Here is a 21,512-nt window from a genome sequence, read left to right on the forward strand (position 1 = left end):
TTTAAGTTCCTTGTAGATTCAGAATATTAGCCCTTTGTCAGATGGATAGATTGCAAAAATTTTCTCCCATTCTGTAGGTTGCCTGTTCACTCTGATGATAGTTTCCTTTGCTGTGCAGAAGCTCTTAGTTTAATTAGATCCCATTTGTCAATTTTAGAATTTTAGTTTTTGTTGCAATTGCTTTTTGTGTTGTAGTCATTAAGTCTTTGTCCATGCTTATGTCCTGCATGGTATTGCCTAGGTTTTCTTCTAGGGTTTTTATGGTTTTAGGTTTTATGTTTAAGTCTTTAATCCATCTTGAGTTAATTTTTGTATAAGGTGTAAGGAAGGGATCCAGTTTCAGTTTTTTGCATATGGTTAGCCAGCTTTCCCAGCACCAATTATTAAATAAGAAATCCTTTCCCCATTGCTTGTTTTTGTCAGGTTTGCTGAAGATCAGATATTTGTAGATGTGTGATGTTATTTCTGAGGCCTCTGTTCTGTTCCATTGGTCTATATATCTGTTTTGATACCAGTACCATGCTATTTTGGTTACTGTAGCCTTGTATTATAGCTTGAAGTCAGGTAGTGTGATGCCTTCAGCTTTGTTCTTTTTGCTTAGGATTGTCTTGGCTATGCAGCCTCTTTTTTGGTTCCATATAAAATTTAAAGTATTTCTTTCTAATTCTGTGAAGAAAGTCAATGGCAGCATGATGGGAATTGCATTGAATCTATAAATTACTTTGGGCAATATGGCTATTTTCATGATATTGATTCTTCCTATCCATGAGCAGGGAATGTTTTTCCATTTGTTTGTGTCCTCTCTTATTGAGCAGTGGTTTGTAGTTCTCCTTGAAGAGGTCCTTCACATCCCTTATAAGTTGTATTCCTAGGTATTTTATTTTCTTTGTAGCAATTGTGAATGGGAGTTCACTCATGATTTGCCTCTCTGTTCATCTATTATTGGTGTATAGGAATGCTTGTGATTTTTGTACATTGATTTTATATCCTGAGACTTTGCTGAAGTTGTTTATCAGCTTAAGAAGTTTTGGGACTGAGACAATGGGGTTTTCTAAATATACAATCATGTCATCTGCAAACAGAGACAATTTGACTTCCTCTCTTCCTGTTTAAATACCCTTTATTTCTTTCTCTTTCCTCATTTCCCTGGCCAGAAGTCCCAATACTATGTTGAATAGGAGTGGTGAGAAGGGGTGTGTTTGCCTTGTGCCAGTTTTCAAAGGGAATGCTTCCAGCTTTTGCCCATTCAGTATGATATTGGCTGTGGGTTTGTCATAAATAGCTCTTATTATTTTGAGATATGTTCCATCAATACCTAGTTTATTGAGAGTTTTTAGCATGAAGGGGTGTTGAATTTTATCGAAGGCCTTTTCTGCATCTATTGAGATAATCATGTGGTGTTTGTCATTGGTTCTGTTTATGTGATGGATTACATTTATTGATTTGTGTATTTGAACCAGCCTTGTATCCCAGGGATGAAGCCAACTTGATCATGGTGAATAAGCTTTTTGATGTGCTGCTGGATTTGATTTGCCAGTATTTTATTGAGGATTTTCGCATCAAAGTTCATCAGGGATATTGGCCTGAAATGTTCTTTTTTTGTTGTGTCTCTGCCAGGTTTTGGAATCAGGATGATGCTGGCCTCATAAAATGAGTTAGGGAGGAATCACTTTTTTTCTATTGTTTAGAATAGTTTCAGAAGGAACGGTACCAGCTCCTCTTTGTACCTCTGTTAGAATTCAACTGTGAATCCATCTGGTCCTGGGCTTTTTTTGGTTGATAGGCTATTAATTACTGCCTCAATTTCAGAACTTGTTATCAATCTATTCAGGGATTCAACTTCTTCCTGGTTTCGTCTTTGGAGGGTGTATATGTCCAGGAATTTATCCATTTTTTCTAGATTTTCTAGTTGATTTGCATAGAGGTGTTTCTAGTATTCTCTGATGGTAGTTTGTATTTCTGTGGGACCAGTGGTGATATCCTGTATGTCAGGCCTCTGAGACTAAGCTAAGCCATCATATCCCCTGTGACCTACATGTATACATCCAGATGGCCTGAAGTAACTGAAGAATCACAAAAGAAGTGATATTTAAATGGCCTGTTCCTGCCTTAACTGATGACATTCAACTGCAAAAGAAGTGCAAATGGCCAGTCCTTGCCTTAACTGATGACATTAGCTTCTGAAATTCCTTCTGGCTCATCCTGGCTCAAAAAGCTCCCTGACTGAGCACCTTGTGACCCCCACTCCTGTCTGCCAGAGAACCCCCCTTTGACTTTAATTTTCCTTTACCTACCCAAATCTTATAAAACAGCCCCACCCTTATCTCCCTTCGCTGACTCTCTTTTCAGACTCAGCCTGCCTGCACCCAGGTGAAATAAACAGCCTCATTGTTCACACAAAGCCTGTTTGGTGGTCTCTTCACACAGAAGCGAGTGAAATTTTGGTGCCATGACTTGGACCAGGGGACCTCCCTTGTGAGATCAATCCCCTGTCCTTCTGCTCTTTGATCCGTGAGAAAGATCCACCTATGACCTCAGGTCCTCCGACTGACCAGCCCAAGGAACATCACACCAATTTTAAATCCAGTAAGCGACCTCTTTCTACTCTCTTCTCCAACCTCTCTCACTATCCCTCAACCTCTTTCTCCTTTCAATCTTGGCACCACACTTCAATCTCTCCCTTCTCTTAATTTCAGTTCCTTTCCTTTTCTTGTAGAAACAGGAGATGCATTTTATCCGTGGACCCAAAACTCCAGCACCGGTCACAGACTCAGGAAGACAGTCTTCCCTTGGTGTTTAATCATACGCGGATGCCTGCCTGATTATTCACCCACATTTCAGAGGTGTCTGACCCCTGACCCCTTCTCTCCATTTCTCTACCCCTTCTCCACTTTTATGGGGGGCAAGAACACCCCCAACCCCTTCTCTCCATGTCTCTACCCCTTCTCCACTTTTCTGGGGGACAATAACCCCCTGACCACTTCTCTCCATGTTTCTTGGGGAGCAAGCACCCCCCACCCCTTCTCTCTGTGTCTCTACTCTCTCTTTTCTCTGGGCTTGCCTCCTTCACTATGGGTAGGCTTCCACCCTCCATTCCTCCTTCTCCCTTAGCCTGTGTTCTTAAGAACTTAAAACTGTCAGGCCTCTGAGCCCAAGCTAAGCCATCATATCACCTGTGACCTGCAAGTACATATCCAGATGTCTGGTTCCTGCCTTAACTGATGACATTCCACCACAAAAGAAGTTAAAATGGCTTGTTCCTGCCTTAACTGATGACATTACCTTGTGAAATTCCTTCTCCTGGCTCATCCTGGCTCAAAAGCTCCCCCACTGAGCACCTTGTGACCCCCACCCCTGCCAGCCGGAGAACAACCCCCCTACTTTGACTGCAATTTTCCTTTACCTACCCAAATCTTATAAAATGGCCCCACCCCATCTCCCTTTGCTGACTCTCTTTTCAGACTCAGCCCACATGCACTCAGGTGAAATAAACAGCCTTGTTGCTCACACAAAGCCTGTTTGGTGGTCTCTTCACATGGATGCAAGTGAAAAAAAACCTCTTCAACTCACACATGACCTAAAACCTAAATGCCTTATTTTCTTCTGCAACACCCCTTGACCCCAATACAAACTCGACAGTGGTTCCAAATAGCCAGAAAACGGCACTTTCAATTTTTCCATCCTACAAAATCTACATAATTCTTGTCATAAAATGGGCAAATGGTCTGAGGTTCCTGATGTCCAGGCATTCTTTTACACATCGGTCCCTCCATAGTCTCTGCTCCCAATGCAACTCATCCCAAATCTTGCTTCTTTCCCTCCCACCTGTCCCCTCAGTCCCAACCCAAAGCATCACTGAGTGTTTCCAATCTTCCTTTTCTACAGACACATCTGACCTCTCCCCAGGCTGCCCCTCACCAGGCCGAGCTAGGTCCCAATTCTTCCTCAGCCTCTGCTCCCCTACCCTATAATCCTTTTTATCACCTCCCCTCCTCACACCCGGTCCAGTTTACAGTTTCATTCTGTGACTAGCCCTCCCCCACCTGCCCAGCAATTTCCTCTTAAAAAGGTGGCTGGAGCTAAAGGCATAGTCAAGGTTAATGCTCCTTTTTCTTTATCCCAAATCAGATAGCATTTAGGCTGTTTTTCATCAAATATAAAAACGCAGCCTAGTTCATGGCTCGTTTGGCAGCAACCCTGAGATGCTTTACAGCCCTAGCCCCTAAAAGGTCAAAAGGTCATCTTATTCTCAATATACATTTTATTGCCCAATCCGCTCCCGACATTAAATAAAAGTACAAAAACTAAATTCTGGCCCTCAAACCCCACAACAGGACTTAATTAACCTTACCTTCAAGGTGTATAATAATAAAGTAGAGGCAGCTAAGTAGCAATGTATTTCTAAGTTGCAATTCCTTGCCTCCACTGTGAGACAAACCCCAGCCATATCTCCAGTACACAAGAACTCCAAACGCCTGAACCACAGCTGCCAGGGTTTCCTCCAGAACCTCCTCCCCCAGGAGCTTGCTACAAGTGATGGAAATCTGGCCACTGGGCCAAGGAATGCCCACAGCCCGGGATTCCTCCAAAGCCATGTCCCATCTGTGAAGGACCCCACTGAAAATCAGACTGTTCAACTCACCTGGCAGCCACTTCCAAAGCCCCTGGAACTCTGGCCCAAGGTTCTCTGACTGACTCCTTCCCAGATCTTCTAGGCTTAGCAGCTGAAGACTGACACTGCCTAATCACCTTAGAAGCCTACAGGACCATCACAGATGCTCTAGGTAACTCTCAGAGTGGAGGGTAAGTCCATCCCCTTCTTAATCAATACGGAGGCTACCCACTCCACATTACCTTCTTTTCAAGGGCCTGTTTCCCTTGCCTCCATAACTTTTGTAGATATTGATGGCCAGGCTTCTAAACCTCTTAAAACTCCCCAACTCTTATGCCAACTTAGAAAATACTCTTTTAAGCACTCCTTTATAGTTATCCCCACCTGCCCAGTTCCCTTATTAGGCCGAGATATTTTAACTAAATTATCTGCTTCCCTGACTATTCCTGGGCTACAGCCACACCTTATTGCCACCTTTTCCCCCAGTTCAAAGACTCCTTCACATCCTCCCCTTGTATCTCCCCACCTTAATCCACAAGTATAGGATGCCTCTACTCCCTCCTTGGTGACCGATCATGCACCCCTTACCATCTCATTAAAACCTAATCACCCTTACCCTGCTCAATGCCAATATCCCATCCTGCAGCATGCTTTAAAAGGATTAAAGCCTGTTATCACTCACCTGCTACAGCATGGCCTTTTAGAGCCTATAAACTCTTCTTACAATTCCCCCATTTTACCTGTCCTAAAACCAGACAAGCCTTACAGGTTAGTTCAGGATCTGCGCCTTATCAACCAAATTGTTTTGCCTATCCACCCCATGGTGCCAAACCCATATACTCTCCTATCCTCAATACCTCCCTCTACTACCCATTATTCTGTTCTGGATCTCAAACATACTTTCTTTACTATTCCTTTGCACCCTTCATCCCAGCCTCTCTTTGCTTTCACTTGGACTGACCCTGACACCCATTAGGCTCAGCAAATTACCTGGGCTGTACTGCTGCAAGGCTTCACAGACAGCCCCCATTACTTCAGTCAAGCCCAAATTTCTTCCTCATCTGTTACCTATCTCGGCATAATTCTCATAAAAACACACGTGCTCTCCCTGCTGATCCTGTCCAGCTGATCTCCCAAACCCCAATCCCTTCTACAAAACAACAACTCCTTTCCATCCTAGGCATGGTTAATGCAGTCAGAATTCTCACACAAGAGCCAGGACCGTACCCTGTAGCCTTTCTGTCCAAACAACTTGACCTTACTGTTTTAGCCTAGCCCTCATGTCTGCATGCAGTGGCTGCCACTGCCTTAATACTTTTAGAGGCCCTAAAAATCACAAACTATGCTCAACTCACTCTCTACAGTTCTAATAACTTCTGAAATCTATTTTCTTCCTCATACCTGACGCATATACTTTCTGCTCCCCAGCTCCTTCAGCTGTACTCACTCTTTGTTGAGTCTCCCACAGTTACCATTGTTCCTGGCCCGGACTTCAATCCAGCCTCCCACATTATTCCAGATACCACACCTGACCCTCATGACTGTATCTCTCTGATCCACCTGACATTCACCCCATTTCCCCATATTTCCTTCTTCCCTGTTCCTTACCCTGATCACATTTAGTTTATTGATGGTAGTTCCCCCAGGCCTAATCGCCACACACCAGCAAAGGCAGGCTATGCTATAGTAAAAGCCACCAGCCCGCCTCTTAGAACGTCTCATTTTCTTTCCATCATGGAAACCTATCCTCAAGGAAATAACTTCTCAGTGTTCCATCTGCTATTCTGCTACTCCTCAGGGATTATTCAAGCCCCCTCCCTTCCCTACACATCAAGCTCGGGGACTTGCCACTGCCCAGGACTGGCAACTCTTAACTCCCTCTTAGAGAGGATAGATGATCTTTGCTGGCAGGGGACCCTCCAATACTTTCACCCTGATGAAGTTCTATTCTTTACTTTTATACTCACTCTTATCCTCATTCCCATTCTTATGCCACCCTCTACCTCTCCCCAGCTACCTCCACCACACTATCAACCTCACTCATTCTCTCCTAGCTGTTTCTAATCCCTCCTTAGTGAACAACTGCTGGCTTTGCATTTCCCTTTCTTCCAGCGCCTACACAGCTGTCCTCACCTTACATGCAGACTAGGCAACATCTCCTGTCTCCCTACACTCTGAACTTCCTTTAACAGCCCTCACCTTTACCCTCCAGAAGAACTCATTTACTTTCTAGACAGGTCCAGCAAGACCTCCCCAGACATTTCATATCAGCAAGCTGCCGCCCTCCTCCGCACTTACTTAAAAAACCTTTCTCCTTATATCAACTCTACTCCCCCCATATTTAGATCTCTCACAACACAAACTACTATTCCTGTGGCCACTCCTTTATGTATATCTTGGCAAAGACCCACTGGAATTCCCCTAGGTAACCTTTCACCTTCTTGATGTTCCTTTACTCTTCATCTCCAAAGCCCAACTACGCACATCACTGAAACAACTGGAGCCTTCTAGCTCTGTATTACAGACAAGCCCTCTATCAATACTGGCAAACTTAAAAACATTAGCAGTAATTATTGCTTAGGAAGACACTTACCCAGTATTTCACTCCATTCTTGGCTACCTTCCCCTTGCTCGTCAGACTCTCCTCCCAGGCCCTCTTCTTGTTTGCTTATACCCAGCCCCGTAAATAACAGTAAAAGTTTGCTCATAGACACTCAACGTTTTCTCCTACACCATGAAAATCAAACCTTCCCCTCTACGCTGTTACCCCATTAGTCCCCATTACAACCTCTGATGGCTGCCGCCCTAGCTCGATCCCTAGGAGTCTAGGTAAAAGACACCCCTTTCAGCCCTCCTTCTCATCTTTTTACTTTGCGTCTCCAGTTTTGCCTCACACAAGGTCTCTTCTTCCTCTGTGGATCCTCTACCTACATGTGTCTACCTGCTAATTGGACAGGCACATGCACACTAGTTTTCCTTACCCCCAAAATTCAATTTGCAAATAGAACCAAAGAGTTCCCTGTTCCCCTCATGACACCAACATGACAAAAAAGAGTTATTCCACTAATTCCCTTGCTTGTCGGTTTAGGACTTTCTGCCTCCCCTATTGCTCTCGGTACTGCAATAACAGGCATTTCAACCTCTGTCATGACCTTCTGTAGCGTCTCTAATGACTTCTCTGCTAGCATCACAGACATATCACAAACTTTATCAGTCCTCCAGGCCTAAGTTGACTCTTTAGCTGCAGTTGTCCTCCAAAACCGCTGAGGCCTTGACTTACTCACTACTGAAAAAGGAAGACTGTATATTCTTAAATGAAGAGTGTTGTTTTTACCTAAATCAATCTGGCCTGGTGTATGACAACATAAAAAAACTCAAGGATAGAGCCCAAAAACTTGCCAACCAAGCAAGTAATTATGCTGAACCCCCTTAGGCACTCTCTAATTAGACGTCCTAGGTCCTCCCAATTCTTAGTCCTTTAATACCTGTTTTTCTCCTTCTCTTATTCCATTTAATTTTTCAATTCATGCAAAACCGTATCCAGGCCATCACCAATAATTCTACACGACAAATGTTTCTTCTAACAACCCCACAATATCACCCCTTACCACAAAATCTTCCTTCAGCTTAATCTCTCACACTCTAGGTTCCCACGCCACCCCTAATCCCGCTCGAAGCAGCCCCGACAGACATCGTCCATTATCTCTCCATACCACCCCCAAAAATTTTCACCGCCCCAACACTTCAACACTATTATGTTTTATTTTCCTTATTAATATAAGAAGAGAGGAATGTCAGGCCTCTGAACCCAAGCTAAGCCATCATATCCCCTATGACCTGCACGTATACATCCAGATAGCCTAAAGTAACTGAAGAATCACAAAAGAAGTGATATTTAAATGGCCTGTTCCTGCCTTAACTGATGACATTCCACCACAAAAGAAGTTAAAATGGCCAGTCCTTACCTTAACTGGTGACACTACCTTGTGAAATTCCTTCTCCTGGCTCATCCTGGCTCAAAAAGCTCCCCCACTGAGCACCTTGTGACCCCCACCCCTGCCCACCAGAGAACAACCCCCCTTTGACTGTAATTTTCCTTTACCTACCCAAATCTTGTAAAACAGCCCCACCCCTATCTCCCTTGGCTGACTCTTTTCGGACTCAGCCCGCCTGCACCCAGGTGAAACAGCCTTGTTGCTCACACAAAGCCTGTTTGGTGGTCTCTTCACAAGGATGCAAATGAAACTCTGTATCATTTTTTATTGTGTTTATTTGATATTCTCTTTTCTTCTTTATTAGTCTAGCTAGCAGTCTATTTCCTTAATTTTTTCAAAAAAAAAAAAAGCCCCTGGATTCAGATTATTTGAAAAGTTTTTTGTGTCTCTGTCTCCTTCAGTTCCACTCTGATGTTACTTTTTTCTTGTCTTCTGCTAGCTCAATCATCCCAGGTCAACATCCCAGGTCAATTCCTGCTGTGCTGGCAGCAGGAATTTCAAGCCAGTGATTCATAGCTTGCTGGGCTCCATGGGAGTGGGACCTGCTGAGCGAGACTACTTGGCTCCCTGGCTTCAGCCTCCTTTCCAGGTAAGTGAACGGTTCTGACTCTCTGGGGTTCCAGGCGCCACCAGGGGATGAAAAAAAAATTTCTGCAGCTGGCTCGGTGTCTGCCCGAACAGCCGCCCAGTTTTGTGCTTGAAACCCAGGGCCCTGGTGGTGTAGGCTCACCATGGAATCTCCTGGTTTGCGGATTGCAAAAGCTATGGGAAAAGCATAGTATCTGGGTGGGATAGCACAGTCCCTCATGGCTTCCCTTGGCTGGGAAAGGGAGGCCTCCTGCTCCTTGCACTTCCCGGGTAAGGTGATGCCCCACCTTGCTTATGCTCGCCCTCCATGGGCTGCACCCACTGTCTAACCAGTCGCAATGAGATAAACAGGATATCTCAGTTGGAAATGCAGAAATCACCCGCCTTCTGCATAGGTCTCACTGGGAGCTGCAGACTGGAGCTGTTCCTATTCGACCATCTTGCCAGAACCCCCAACAAGAATATTTTTAAAACAAAGTAAATACCACCATACTCCTGGAAAAAAAAAATACACTTTTGCTGTCTGCCAAGAAGCAGCAGCATGGGGTTCACAAATAGTTGGATTCCTAGTAAAGATTCTGCCCAGCTGAAAATTGGCTTTGAAAATAATGCGACCAGAAACTTTGGGAGAACAGAACTTTAAGTGGCTCAGATAGCCTTCTTAGAGTTTGGATTACCATTGGTTGTTCTCCTAAAGTGATAAGAAGTTTCTAGAGGAACAGTGTGGAGATCAAAATGGCCTATGATCACCAGAATGCTATATATCCAGCCCCTATGCCCTTTGTGCTGTACTTGCCTATGTGGGTTATAAGGACCCAAGTCCTACAGAGTCAGGAATCACCCTTCCCTTTAAAATCTTCCTTCTTTGACAAAGCCCCGCTCCTACATGACTGCAGGAAATCCAGTTCTTTCCCAAAATATTCCAGAGGATACCAAAGGTAGCTTACATTTTCAACCAACATGGTGCCTCTCTGGTCTGCTTGTTTCCTATGGACCACCACTGGTCCTGAGCCTCTTCTCTCCATAGCTACAAACTTTTTGGGTACCACAAACCATACTTCTCCTTTTATTCCCCAAGAACAGCGAATAACAAAGCTTGAAGATAACAAAAGGGGAGTATGTGACAATAACTTAAAACTGGGAACTAGAGAGCAGCTTCTTTCTACTCCTGGTGTCACCCAAGGGTCCCTTCTGGCTTTTCCCCTGCCGCCTCTGCCCTGCTGCCCCTATGGTGGGGTCCATTCCCTTTTTTTCAGTTGGCATCTCTGGCTGACATGTTCTCCACCCCTAGGCAGCAAAACCAGATTCCTTTATGGCTCTAAAATCTCTGCAGAGGTGTTTGTTTCCTAAAGTTATCTTTTCTATCATTAAGCAAAATAACTGGATTGTGCGCAGCCCCCTGCTGGATCATGTGTCACTAGTACTGGGCCTCCCTACCATTAAGGAACCCAGCACTTTCAAGTTCTCTGATTCTCCATGTGACATGCCCAAGTGAACCAATACCACCACTGCCCCAATCACCCACCCATTCCCAAAAAGTGAAAAATAAGCACACAAACAAGTGACTAGTGTTTAATCTCAGAAACATTTGCATTCAGAGTACGTTCCCTTAGAATTTTCTCCTCTCCACTCCATGAGGAGTGGGCATGTGCTTTATTATATCAACAAGACTAAGAAGCCGCACCCGAGTGGTCCCACTCAAAAAAGAGATTTCTGTTTCTACCTCAAAATGCAGAAACCATTACAGATTAAAAGAGAAACACACACACACACTTTGAGAAACTCGCCCTTCCTCATCTTCAAAGTGTGGGGTATGCATTCCAGATCTCTCAGCCTGATGGACAGCTTGGAAGTGGAAGGGACCAATGTCCAGCAAGTGGACTTTGCCCCATGTCCATTGTGCCTTGTGTCTTCCTAGCCAACTCAGAACTCCTCACATCCAGCCCCCAGACTACCGCTCATGGGCTCAGGCAAAGGTGGGAGTAGCCAGGGTTTGGCACTTGGGAGACACTCAAAAATATTTTTTGGACAAACAAGTGAATGTGAGCCCTGAAACTTTCTAGAGAGTCTCTGTCCCATTGGGTTCAAGCCAGTAAAAAGCCAGAGAAGTGTCTTTCTGTCCCAAACATAAGCAAGAGATGGATGAGTCCTCTGTGCAGAAGTTACTAAACACTCCTTGGTGTGGAGGAGTTTTTTGTTAATGAAACAACATCCAGTTTGTTTGATGAAAGATTAATATGGTCAATGAGCTCAAAGTCATCTTCAGATTAAAGCATTCACTAAAACATGGCTGGGTTAGTTTGCAGCTAAAAGGAATAAATATACTTTATAAAATATGAGTTCCTGGTACTCAGGTTCTGCTTCCAAGGAAGTCTCAACCTAGACCATATAATGAATAGAGACTGAAGGAAGAGGTATTGGGAACTCAACTGATTCTCAGGCAGGGGAGTGTGAGAAGAAATGGGGAAGAGGAACTAGGGATATCAGTTTCATCCTGGTCATGATTCACAGAAATGAGTGCAGAGGGAAGACAAAGTCAGATGCCCAGACTGCAGTGTTGGGGAACAGGAGGCCATTGAGTTTAGATTGCTAAGAAAAGGATGGAGGGTAAAAACATTGAAGAGTTTCAGTGAGAGTCTATTTTCTCCAAATAGGAGAAAAGCTTATGGAGATACCAACAGACCTTATCTGAAACACTCTGAGGGTTCCATCTTGCTCTTTTCCACATTCTTCATATTTTCTAGGTATCTCTGGAGGCATAAGAGAACACTTTTCTAGCTTTTTTGGGTGGTTTCAGCTACCAGCTATCACTACAATCCCCAGCCATAATTTCAGATCTTCCATCCTGTCAACTTTCTTCAAAACACAAAAATAACTCCTTTCTCTCCCTCACTCACACAGTAGAGTTCAATTGATTAAACTTATCAAATTATTTTAAATATTCATCTGAAATCAGTGAGACTAGAAACTTCACATTTTAGGGTAATTATGAGGTACAAAAGCAAGATAAATTGTCTTATCGATGATACTTTTGATAGAAGATTTTTAAACAATAAGGCATAAAGTTGATGTATAATTTTAAAAAGAAAATATTTCTTGGGATATGTGTTTCTAGATTAAGGTACCATGGGCCCTGAATAACGAATCTCAGTTTTTCTTAAGGTCCTCCTCCTCTGAGCTACACTGTGGGTCGAAAAGGGCAGGATTATCATAAATGGAAAGAAGCTAGAGACATTTTAGTTAAATAAAAAGAACATCTGGAAAAAGACATCTTCGTTACTGGAAATATTCAAGCAGAGGTTTCTGGGATGTTTCTGATGGCACTCAAGCATCGGAGACCAAGGTCAGCCTAAGACACAAGCAAGGTCCCATCCTACAAAGAGAGTGAAATTAGATCCGTATATGAAATGCCTAGCACAGTGCCTGGCGCATAAGAGATACACACTAGATACCAGATCCTTCCCATCCTGAGAGTCTGTGGGTCTATGCTCGTATATATTGGATGTATTTCTGGAAGGGTAATTGGATACATTGTAGATTCTTCCAGAAGTTCACAATTTTCTTAATCGGAGCCATTGAGAGAAGGCAAGGGAAGGAAGCATGTTCTTTTTGCTTGTGTCAGTAACTCTTCCTCTAGCTGGAGTTTTCATCACCTTCAGGCAGTTATTGGTTTGGGCTTTATGCTATCCACTACAGCTGAAATAACTGCTCCAGCAGCCTTCGCTCCTTCCATCAGGGCGTGCTCTACCTGCAAAGCACATCAGTTCACAGGACAATCAGTACCAATCCTAGGCTTGCACCCTCCCCTACCTCCACCCCACCATACCCATTCAGCAACCAGCCTGTCTGGAGTCTATTCCCAAGAGAAGAAGCAGTCCATGCTATCTTATATTTTCAAAACTCCTAGAGTGACAAGAGACCAAGAAAAGCCAGGATTGTTGGAGACAGACAACCCCTTCCTCCCTCTGTGCCATTTGGCCCAGGGTCTGCTTCCAGTGTGGGGCTCAGAGGCAAAGGATCTCACAGCACCACAGCCACTGAGGCCCTCATTCTACAAACAGGGGATCCAAGAGCCAGGGAGCGGAACTCACTTGGACAGAGCCATACAGTGAATTCATGTCCAAACTTAGCTCTTGGGTTCTTGGGCCTCATGACTCCTAGGCCCAAGCTTCTTCAGAGGACTTCTTGTAATGCCCTCAGTCCTTGGGGTCTTCATGTGCAAATTCTCACGGGACGGGAGGTTTCTCACACCAGGGCCCACCAAGCCCCGGACACTAGAGAAAAGCCTCACAAGAATGGAGTGCAGGCTGGAGAGGATGCAGAGCAGAGAGGAGGAAGGTGCAGAAAGTAAAGGGCACAGCAGGGAGGCTGCCAATGGTCACTGAGGATGGGCTGGCAAAAGCAGAGACTAACATTGGAATGTGAGCCCAATCTGCTTAGACAACAGAAGAAACATAGAAAAAAAATAGAATAATTATGTTCTTCTTTTAATCCTTAATTTTTTCCATCTCTTTAAAGGGGGATAATAGGTTGGGTGTGGTGGCTCACGCCTGTAATCCCAGCACTTTGGGAGGCTGAGGCGTGTGGGTCACGAGGTCAAGAGATTGAGACCATCCTGACCAACATGGTGAAACCCCATCTCTACTAAAAATACAAAAATTAGCTGGGCATGGTGGCGTGCACCTGGAGTCCCAGCTACTCGGGAGGCTGAAGCAGGAGAACCGCTTGAACCTGGGAGGCAGAGGTTGCAGTGAGCCGAGATCACGCCATCGCACTCCAGTCTGGGTGACAGAGCAAGACTCTGTCTCAAAAAAAAAGGGGAGTAGTGATAATAAATGCTTTCTCTGCTCATCTCATGGAGTTTTAGTAAGGATCACCTATTAACATGAATAGCCCAAGTTTTCACATACATTTAGGATTCAAAGTTATTTCACATGCACTGAACTACATGAATTTATTACTTCTCTATATGGGAGGAAGTGACAGAGCCAAATGCAGTATAGGCCAGGCAGGTAATGTGAGTGAGGCAGGTGGGTGACATACCTACCCCTTATCCCCTGCAAAGCCACAGCATGTCCCTACAGAGTGTCAGCAAGTAGGAATGCCAGCCCAGTGGCCTGATCAATTGTATGTTAAAAAGAAAGCTGAGGGCCAGGCTCAGTGGCTCATGCCTGTAATCTAGCACTTTGGGAGGCCGAGGCGGGTGGATCACCTGAGGTCAGGCATTCAAGACCAGCCTGGCCAACATGGCAAAACCCCATTTCTACTCAAAATACAAAAATTAGCCAGACGTGGTGGCGCACACCTAGTAATCCCAGCTACTTGGGAGACTGAGGCAGGAGAATCGCTTGAACCCAGGAGGCGGAGGTTGCAGTGAGCCGAGATTGCACTACTGCACTCCAACTTGGGCGACAGAGCAAAACTCTGTCTCAAAAAAAAGAGAGAGAGAGAGAAGCTGAGAACCTACATCTTTTTATATAAAATTTCTATATTTTTAAATATTGGCAAGTAATTCAAACAAAAAGTGTGTGTGTGTGTGTGTGTGTGTGTGTGTGTGTGTGTGTGTATCCAAGATGTGGCCCACAAAGTACTAGGTTGCAATTTTATCAACAGAGTATCTGCTTCTGCTTATCCCTGCTTTGTTAAGGAAGAAATGGTCTTTGGCCAGTCACGGTGGCTTACACCTGTAATCCCAGCACTTTGGGAGGTCGAAGTGGAGGATCACTTGAGCCCAGGAGTTCAAGACCAGCCTGGGCAACATAGCAAAACCACCTCTCAACAAAAAAATTAAAATTAACTGGGTGTGGTGATGCACACCTGAAGTCCCAGCTATTCAGGAGGCTAAGGCAGGAGGACGGCCTGAGCCCAGGAGGTTGTGGCTGCAATGAGCCATGATTATGTCATTACACTCCAGCCTAGGTGACAGAGTGAGATCCTGTCTCCAAAGAAAGAGGGGAAAAAAAGAAAAGAAAGAAAAGCTTTCAGAAATATACTGATTTGACCAAGGATACCCCTCTAGTTAATAGTTGAGCTGGGGCTCCAATCGCTGGTCTTACTATTAGCCCAGTGCCTTTTCTACTCCTCCCTGGGTTAATAAAGGTGAAAATACCTCCTGAACCATAAAGTCCTGCAGAAATAGAAGGCCCTACTAGTATAACGAATAATATAATGAAAGCCCTGATTACCATTCTGATCACTAATGAAATGACAAACCCCAAGAAAGCTCTGGAAGAAGCCATCATCAGAGCAAATGGGGTCACACCTGCTGGCTCCGGGGTACGCCATATCTGAGGCCATTGACAAAGTGCTCACAGTTCCCTTCAATCAGGCTGTACTGCACGATCTTGTTGACCATCTTTTTTGTACGCTGGATGATCTTGTCCACCGGCAAGGGCAGGTACGTCCCATCTAGCTTGTTATTGACCTTCCAGGAGCAGCCATGCAGCACATCCTCCAGACGACTGTATTTCACCACGGCCCGATTGCTAAAGATGGAAGTAATGCTGCCCACCTCAAACTCCTCACCTGGAGACCAAAGACAAACAAAGGTTGGGAAATACAAGGAGTAGCAAAGCAGAGCACAGTCTAAGACTCTGAGTAAGCTGCTTCCCCTGGAGTCTCATTGGCACCATCAGTAGAAGGGTGGCAGAAGAGGGGAAGTTGGAATCAAAGAACCGCAGAGAATCAACTTTCCTGAGAAGCCCTTTGCCCTGCGCCTCACTCCCTGCTCTCAACCCGCACAGGAGTCTCTTTCTCATTAAACTCTTGGAGCACCTTCCCATGTGGTCCCAGACTGTGTTGCACTGACCTACCCAAGTCCTAGGATTTGAGTCTCATTTCCTGAGAAGACTTCAGTAATCTTCACAAACATGTAAAGAGCACTCTCTATGTAAGTGTCAGCTCATGGGTAAAAGGCTATCACATACATGATTATGGTGGTTCCATGTCACGCCTCCCTCTGGGCTGCCACAGGGACACAGGGGAAGCCAGCCAAGCAGGGCTCTGAATGGCACCTGCTCCTGCCAGCTTCCACCTACAGCCACTTGACTGACCTCTACTCAAATACGGGGATTCTCATTAAGGGTATGTTTGAAAACAGGGTTCCACAGCTTTGAAAAAAGAAATGTTTGAAAGGTGCTACATTATCATATTCAGCCCTGAGATGAGACAGAGACTGAAAGAGGGTCAGGAACCTGCCCAAAGCTGGGTGGGTAGTCATTTAAAGTAGCACTGCTACAACCATGTTGATATGCGAATGTGTATACCCTTCCCTTTATAAGTTGTCCAAGGGCAAGAAATGCTCCATGATCTTTTCTTACAAATTTGAAGAAAATCTGCTGATTTTATAAAAGCTGGCAATAGATAATTCAGCATTCAGGAGCAGAAATGGCAGAATTCATTTTCAGAGAGCAAGATAGGGGTGGGGGAAGACATAACTGATAAGTATCTCTGTGGTTGTACAAGAGGGAAACTCCTGGACTTAGTCTGGAAAGAAGAGATGAATTTCTACATTCTTTGAGTAGGTTCTGAGACAAGAAGTGGGAAGGGTATGAGTGGATGGGGCAGAGAAGAGAGGCAATGAGAAAGGGGCTCTGCTCCATGGGAACATCCCTGCATGGTGAGAGACTGGGCCAGAGGAAGAGGACAGGACACAGGGATGACAGCTGAGAACAAGTTAGGACCAAAGGCCTTTGGTATAGTGCCCTTCTGTAATTCAACTTTGAACTGGCAATACCTGCACAGGAGACAGCATTCAAAGTGCATTCAATGGTATTCAACAGGGTCTACCTACCCCTTCCTCTCCCAAACCCCAACCCTTATCAGGCCTCATCTCCTGAGATAACCACTGTGACCAGCAGTTCTAGATACCCAATTTTAAGTTGTTTCCCATTTTGCTGTACTCTTCCTCTACTATCATCACCTCCTCCCCCATCAAATCTCCACTAAGATTTAATTAACACAAATTGAATCTCAGCCATATGTTAAGCAGCTGTGAGAAATGAAAAGAGGGCTGTATCTACATTTAGGGTGAAACAGCAAGGAGCATGTTGGAACAGCAGCGAGACAAGGTGAGGACGAAGGTGCCAAAGGTGATCAAGAAGCCAGATGCAGTGTCTGAGGACTATAGAAAACAAATGACGATCAGAACATGTGAGCATCTGCACCCTCCTTGGGGAATCCTCAGAAAGATGAGGATAGATGCTCAACTTTTGTCAATACAAAATGGAGCTCAAGTTCTAAAATGTGTGTATTTAAACAAAGGGCCCTCTAGGAGGTCAGGGAACTTGGGCCACGCTCTTTACACTTGTATCACTCTTAGGCCTGGACACTCATTGGTTTTTGGTGAACAGAGACCAAGCTCTGTCACACAGTAAGCAAAGGTCCAGTCATGCTTCAAGGGGTCCCATTGCTAAAGAATGGCAGTAACTGAGGAACACAGTAATTAACTGTGCTTCTATTTACTTTGCTAACTTCAATATCAGTATTTCAATAGACTATTCACTCTTACTTGGGGGAGCCAGATGGACCACGCAATCATCTTCTACATAGATGGCCCAGTGCTCATAGCCAATTCGAAAAATCTCAATCAGGTCTCCAGGTCTGGGTCTTGGTTTTCCCTATAATGGAAAAATAAAAGATAAATGGCACATGCTCAAGGAACTCCAGAGACCTTGTTTTAGGATCAGGGACAGCTCAGCCTAAAGATCCCCTCAGTGTGGTTCATCACTTCACAGAAACCCAAGCTAAAGAAATTTCTCTTCACACTGAGGACCAAAGAAGTCCCCTCCTCTCCTACCCCACTCACATTACTAAAGCCATCAAGGATACCCGTGCCAGTTATCAATGTATTGCCTCTCAGCTGTGAATGTATCCTCCAATATATACCCTGTGATAGATGACTAAACTTGTTTTAAGCATTTCTTCCTTAAAGCAAGTAAGATGTTAAACCTTCTCAGTAAAGGGTGCTGGCTTTCTCTTGTACTGCAAGACAAAGGGGTTCTCCTGCAGTTTCTGGCTGGGGTGGGCAGGATGATGGTCAGTAGTGTGGGTGTGTGGACATCTAGTAGAGTTCTACCTCAGACCCAGGATCCTCAAGGCCTCCTGCCCCTGCTGGCACCCTGATTCCCTCTGCAGGGCCCCCACGTGACCCACCTGAAGCCCAGAGGGTGCCCCCATCCTCTGCACACCCACACCACCAGTTGCTAATAGCCACTTCAGTCCTGCTTGCCCAGCAAATGCAAACTTCTCTATTATCGTGTGTGTGTGTGTGTGTGTGTGTGTGTGTGTGTGTGTGTGTGAGAGAGAGAGAGAGACAGGTAGAGAGAGAATGAGAATATACATGAATAGGTAGGCATAGAGTTGTACATAAGCATCCATCTTTTTAAAAAATATTTGACCAGAGCTCCAGGTTGCACCTTCACTGCTGTGTTATCATCTCCTAGAGACCCAGCTTCTGTGGCCCTGTGACCTGCAGGTCTTTGGAAATCCATAGCTAAGATGTTAGGACTCCGCTGGAAGCCTAGAAATGGTATTGCTGTCTCTAAGCCAGACCTGATCAACTACCTGGAGCAAAGAAAAGAGCCCTGGAATATGGAGAGACACAAGATGGTAGCGAAACACCCAGTTACATGTTCTCATTTCACCCAAGACCTTTGGCCAAAACAGGGTATAAAAGATTCATTCCCAAAAGTGATACTAAAAAGATATGGAAAATGTGAACATGAGAATTTACAATTAAGGAAAGGCTGTAAAAGTGTGGGTGAGTGCAAAGTGCACAAAGGAGGTCATAATGGACTTAATTAATGTCATTAATGTCGTTAATTTGTCAACTACTCAGAGCAAAATATTTTAATGTAATACATATGTGAAAGTCTCTAGCAAATTTTCGAATTCAAATAGACATAAGACATGGCATACTGGAGAGAAACCTTTCAAATGTAAAGAATACGGCAAATTGGCCAGGTGCAGTGGCTCACACTTTTAATACTAGCATTTTGGGAGGCCAAGGTGAGTGGATCACCTGAGGTCAGGAGTTCAAGACCAGCCTGACCAGCATGGTGAAACCCCATCTCCACTAAAAATACAAAAAAATTAGCCAGGCTTGGTGGCACGCACCTACAGTTCCAGCTATTCAGGAGGCTGAGGCAGGAGAATAGCTTGAACCCAGGAGGTGGAAGTTGCAGTGAGCTAAGATCGCGCCATTGCACTTCAGCCTGGGTGACAGAGCAAGACTCCCATCTCAAAAAAAAAAAAAGAATGTGGCAAATTATTTCACATGCTCTCACACCTAACTCAACATCAGAGAAGTCATACTAGACAGAATTCTTACAGATGTGAATAATGTGGCAAAGCCTTTAACTGGTCTTCAAACCTTAATGAACATAAGAGAATTCACAGTAGAGAGAAACCCTATAAATGTAAAGGATGTGACAAAGCCTTTTAAGTGCATCTCAAGCCTTAGTAAACATAAGATAATTCGTGCTGGAGAAAAACCCTACAAATGCAAAGAATGTGGTAAAGCTTTTAACCAGTCTTCAACTCTTATTATACATAAGAGATTCATACTGGAGAGAAACCCTATGATTGAATATGGCAAAGCATTTTAAAGGTCCGTAAACATAAGATAATTCATACCGGAGATAAACTCTACAAATCTGAAAAATGTGGAAAAGCTTTTAACCACACCTCATACTTTTCTAAACATAAAATAAGTTATACTGGTGAGAAATCCTAGAAATGTGAAGAATGTGGCAAAGCCTTTAAATGGATGTCACACCTTACTGTATGTAAGATAATTCATACTAAAGAAAACCCCTACAAATATAAATAATGTGGCAAAACTTTTAATTAATGTTCATGCCTTATTGCACACGAAAGCATTTATACTTTAGAAAAATTGTACAAATATAAAGAATGTGGAAAAGCCATTGCTATCTGCTCACATCTTACTCAAAATCAGAGAATTCATACTTAATGAAACCATTATAAATGTAATTACTGTAAAAAAAACTTTCAGAAAATATAAGCCTTTAAAGTGAATAAGAGTATTTATTCTGAAGAAAAACATTACATATATAAAGAGGACTGTAGTGCCTTTACTTGTATTACAAACCTTATTGTACATATTTTATACTAGAGGAAAACACCAAAGCAGTTGTTCAAACCTTGTTGAACATCAGAGAATTTATGTTGCAAAGAAACCTTACAGATGAAATGAATGTAGAAACACATTTGTTTAAAAACTCCAGCATGAAGAACACCAGAGAGTTCATACTAAAAGATACTTTTGCAGATGCAGTAAATGTGAAAAAAATATTTAATCAAACATTAAGTCTATATAAACATCAGAGGATTCACAGTAGAAAGAACTAAGGTATAGACACTTCATACATTACACTAAATCAGAGTGTTGAGTACAGAAAATAATTCAAAGCCAAAACTGTCAGATTTTTTTTGTATATAACTTTAAAAGAAACAGAAGACTTTTTTTGAAGAGTTATAATTACAAAGTATTTGTTTTCCCTTGAAAAAATTATAGCTTGTTGAAAGCAAATGTAATTTAATTCTCAAATTACTTCATGCTGTTCCTTCATTCCTATTGTTTATGTGAAAGCATGTGATCCATTATTGTTGCATCAGATCTATGATAGATTCTTTTTCATTAGTTGGGCATTATTTATGACCATTTCCATGGAAGAGTAAAGACATTGAAATAAATGTAAGGTGCGCAATGAAAATCTAAGTGGAGAGGCTCTTTGTGGTTGACTTATAACATTGTTTGAGTGAAGCAAGAGGTAAGTGTTCAGAGTAATATTCTTCTACATGACAGTGAGACGAAAACATTTTGAATTTTAGTAGTAAATCATTTTACCAATTGTACTTTTATGTAATAAAATGCAGTACATTTTGAAATTCTGATTTAAGATTACAGGTGAACTTAATTTTTTAAACAAAATTGTTTTTAAAAAACATTAATAGGCTGGATAAAGAAAATGTGGAATACTATGCAGCCATAAAAAGGATGAGATCATGTCCTTTGCAGGGACATGGTTGGAGCTGGAAGCCGTTATCCTAAGCAAACTAACACAGGAACTGAAAACCAAACACCGCATGTTCTCACTTATAAATGGGAGCTGAATGATGAGAACACGTGGACACACAGGAAGGGGAACAACACACACTGGGGCCTGTCAGGGTGGGGGTTGGAGGAGGGAGAGCATCAGGAACAATAGTGAATGGATGCTGGACTTAATACTAAGGTGATGGGTTGATCTGTGCACAAACCACCATAGCACAATTTTACCTATGTAACAAAC

At 43.5% G+C, this 21,512-nt stretch overlaps 1 protein-coding gene and 1 pseudogene across 7 annotated transcripts in view, besides 3 other annotated features; one reads left to right on the forward strand and one right to left on the reverse strand.

Annotated features, from left to right (window-relative positions):
* Window positions 1,796–2,357: an enhancer, noted in NCBI's record as "OCT4-NANOG-H3K27ac hESC enhancer chr11:63219920-63220481 (GRCh37/hg19 assembly coordinates)". NCBI's record gives its function as "activates a minimal SCP1, AML or CMV promoter by ChIP-STARR-seq in primed H9 embryonic stem cells {active_cell/tissue: H9 hESC(primed)}" and the evidence as "EXISTENCE:reporter gene assay evidence [ECO:0000049][PMID:30033119]".
* Window positions 2,358–2,918: an enhancer, noted in NCBI's record as "NANOG-H3K27ac hESC enhancer chr11:63220482-63221042 (GRCh37/hg19 assembly coordinates)". NCBI's record gives its function as "activates a minimal SCP1, AML or CMV promoter by ChIP-STARR-seq in primed H9 embryonic stem cells {active_cell/tissue: H9 hESC(primed)}" and the evidence as "EXISTENCE:reporter gene assay evidence [ECO:0000049][PMID:30033119]".
* Window positions 9,860–10,471: an enhancer, noted in NCBI's record as "H3K27ac hESC enhancer chr11:63227984-63228595 (GRCh37/hg19 assembly coordinates)". NCBI's record gives its function as "activates a minimal SCP1, AML or CMV promoter by ChIP-STARR-seq in primed H9 embryonic stem cells {active_cell/tissue: H9 hESC(primed)}" and the evidence as "EXISTENCE:reporter gene assay evidence [ECO:0000049][PMID:30033119]".
* PLAAT5 (phospholipase A and acyltransferase 5) overlaps window positions 10,752–21,512 on the reverse strand; it is a 29,764-nt gene continuing 19,003 nt past the window's right edge. For 4 of the 7 annotated variants that reach the window (XM_011544751.4, NM_001146729.2, NM_054108.4 and 1 more), the window contains 3 exons: window positions 17,705–17,813; window positions 15,458–15,720; window positions 10,752–12,943 (listed from right to left, as the gene is read on the reverse strand). In XM_011544751.4, coding sequence (XP_011543053.1) covers window positions 12,851–12,943; window positions 15,458–15,720; window positions 17,705–17,813 — 465 coding nt within the window. In that variant the 3' untranslated portion in view covers window positions 10,752–12,850. Of the gene's footprint in view, window positions 12,944–15,457; window positions 15,721–17,704; window positions 17,814–21,512 lie in introns of those variants that run through there. The other 3 variants (NM_001146728.2, XM_011544752.3, XM_047426340.1) reach the window with 3 other exon arrangements.
* On the forward strand, window positions 18,724–20,423 carry LOC100533643 (zinc finger protein 91 pseudogene; annotated as a pseudogene).

Source organism: Homo sapiens, chromosome 11 (genome assembly GCF_000001405.40).
Source record: "Homo sapiens chromosome 11, GRCh38.p14 Primary Assembly".
Lineage (NCBI taxonomy): Eukaryota > Metazoa > Chordata > Mammalia > Primates > Hominidae > Homo > Homo sapiens.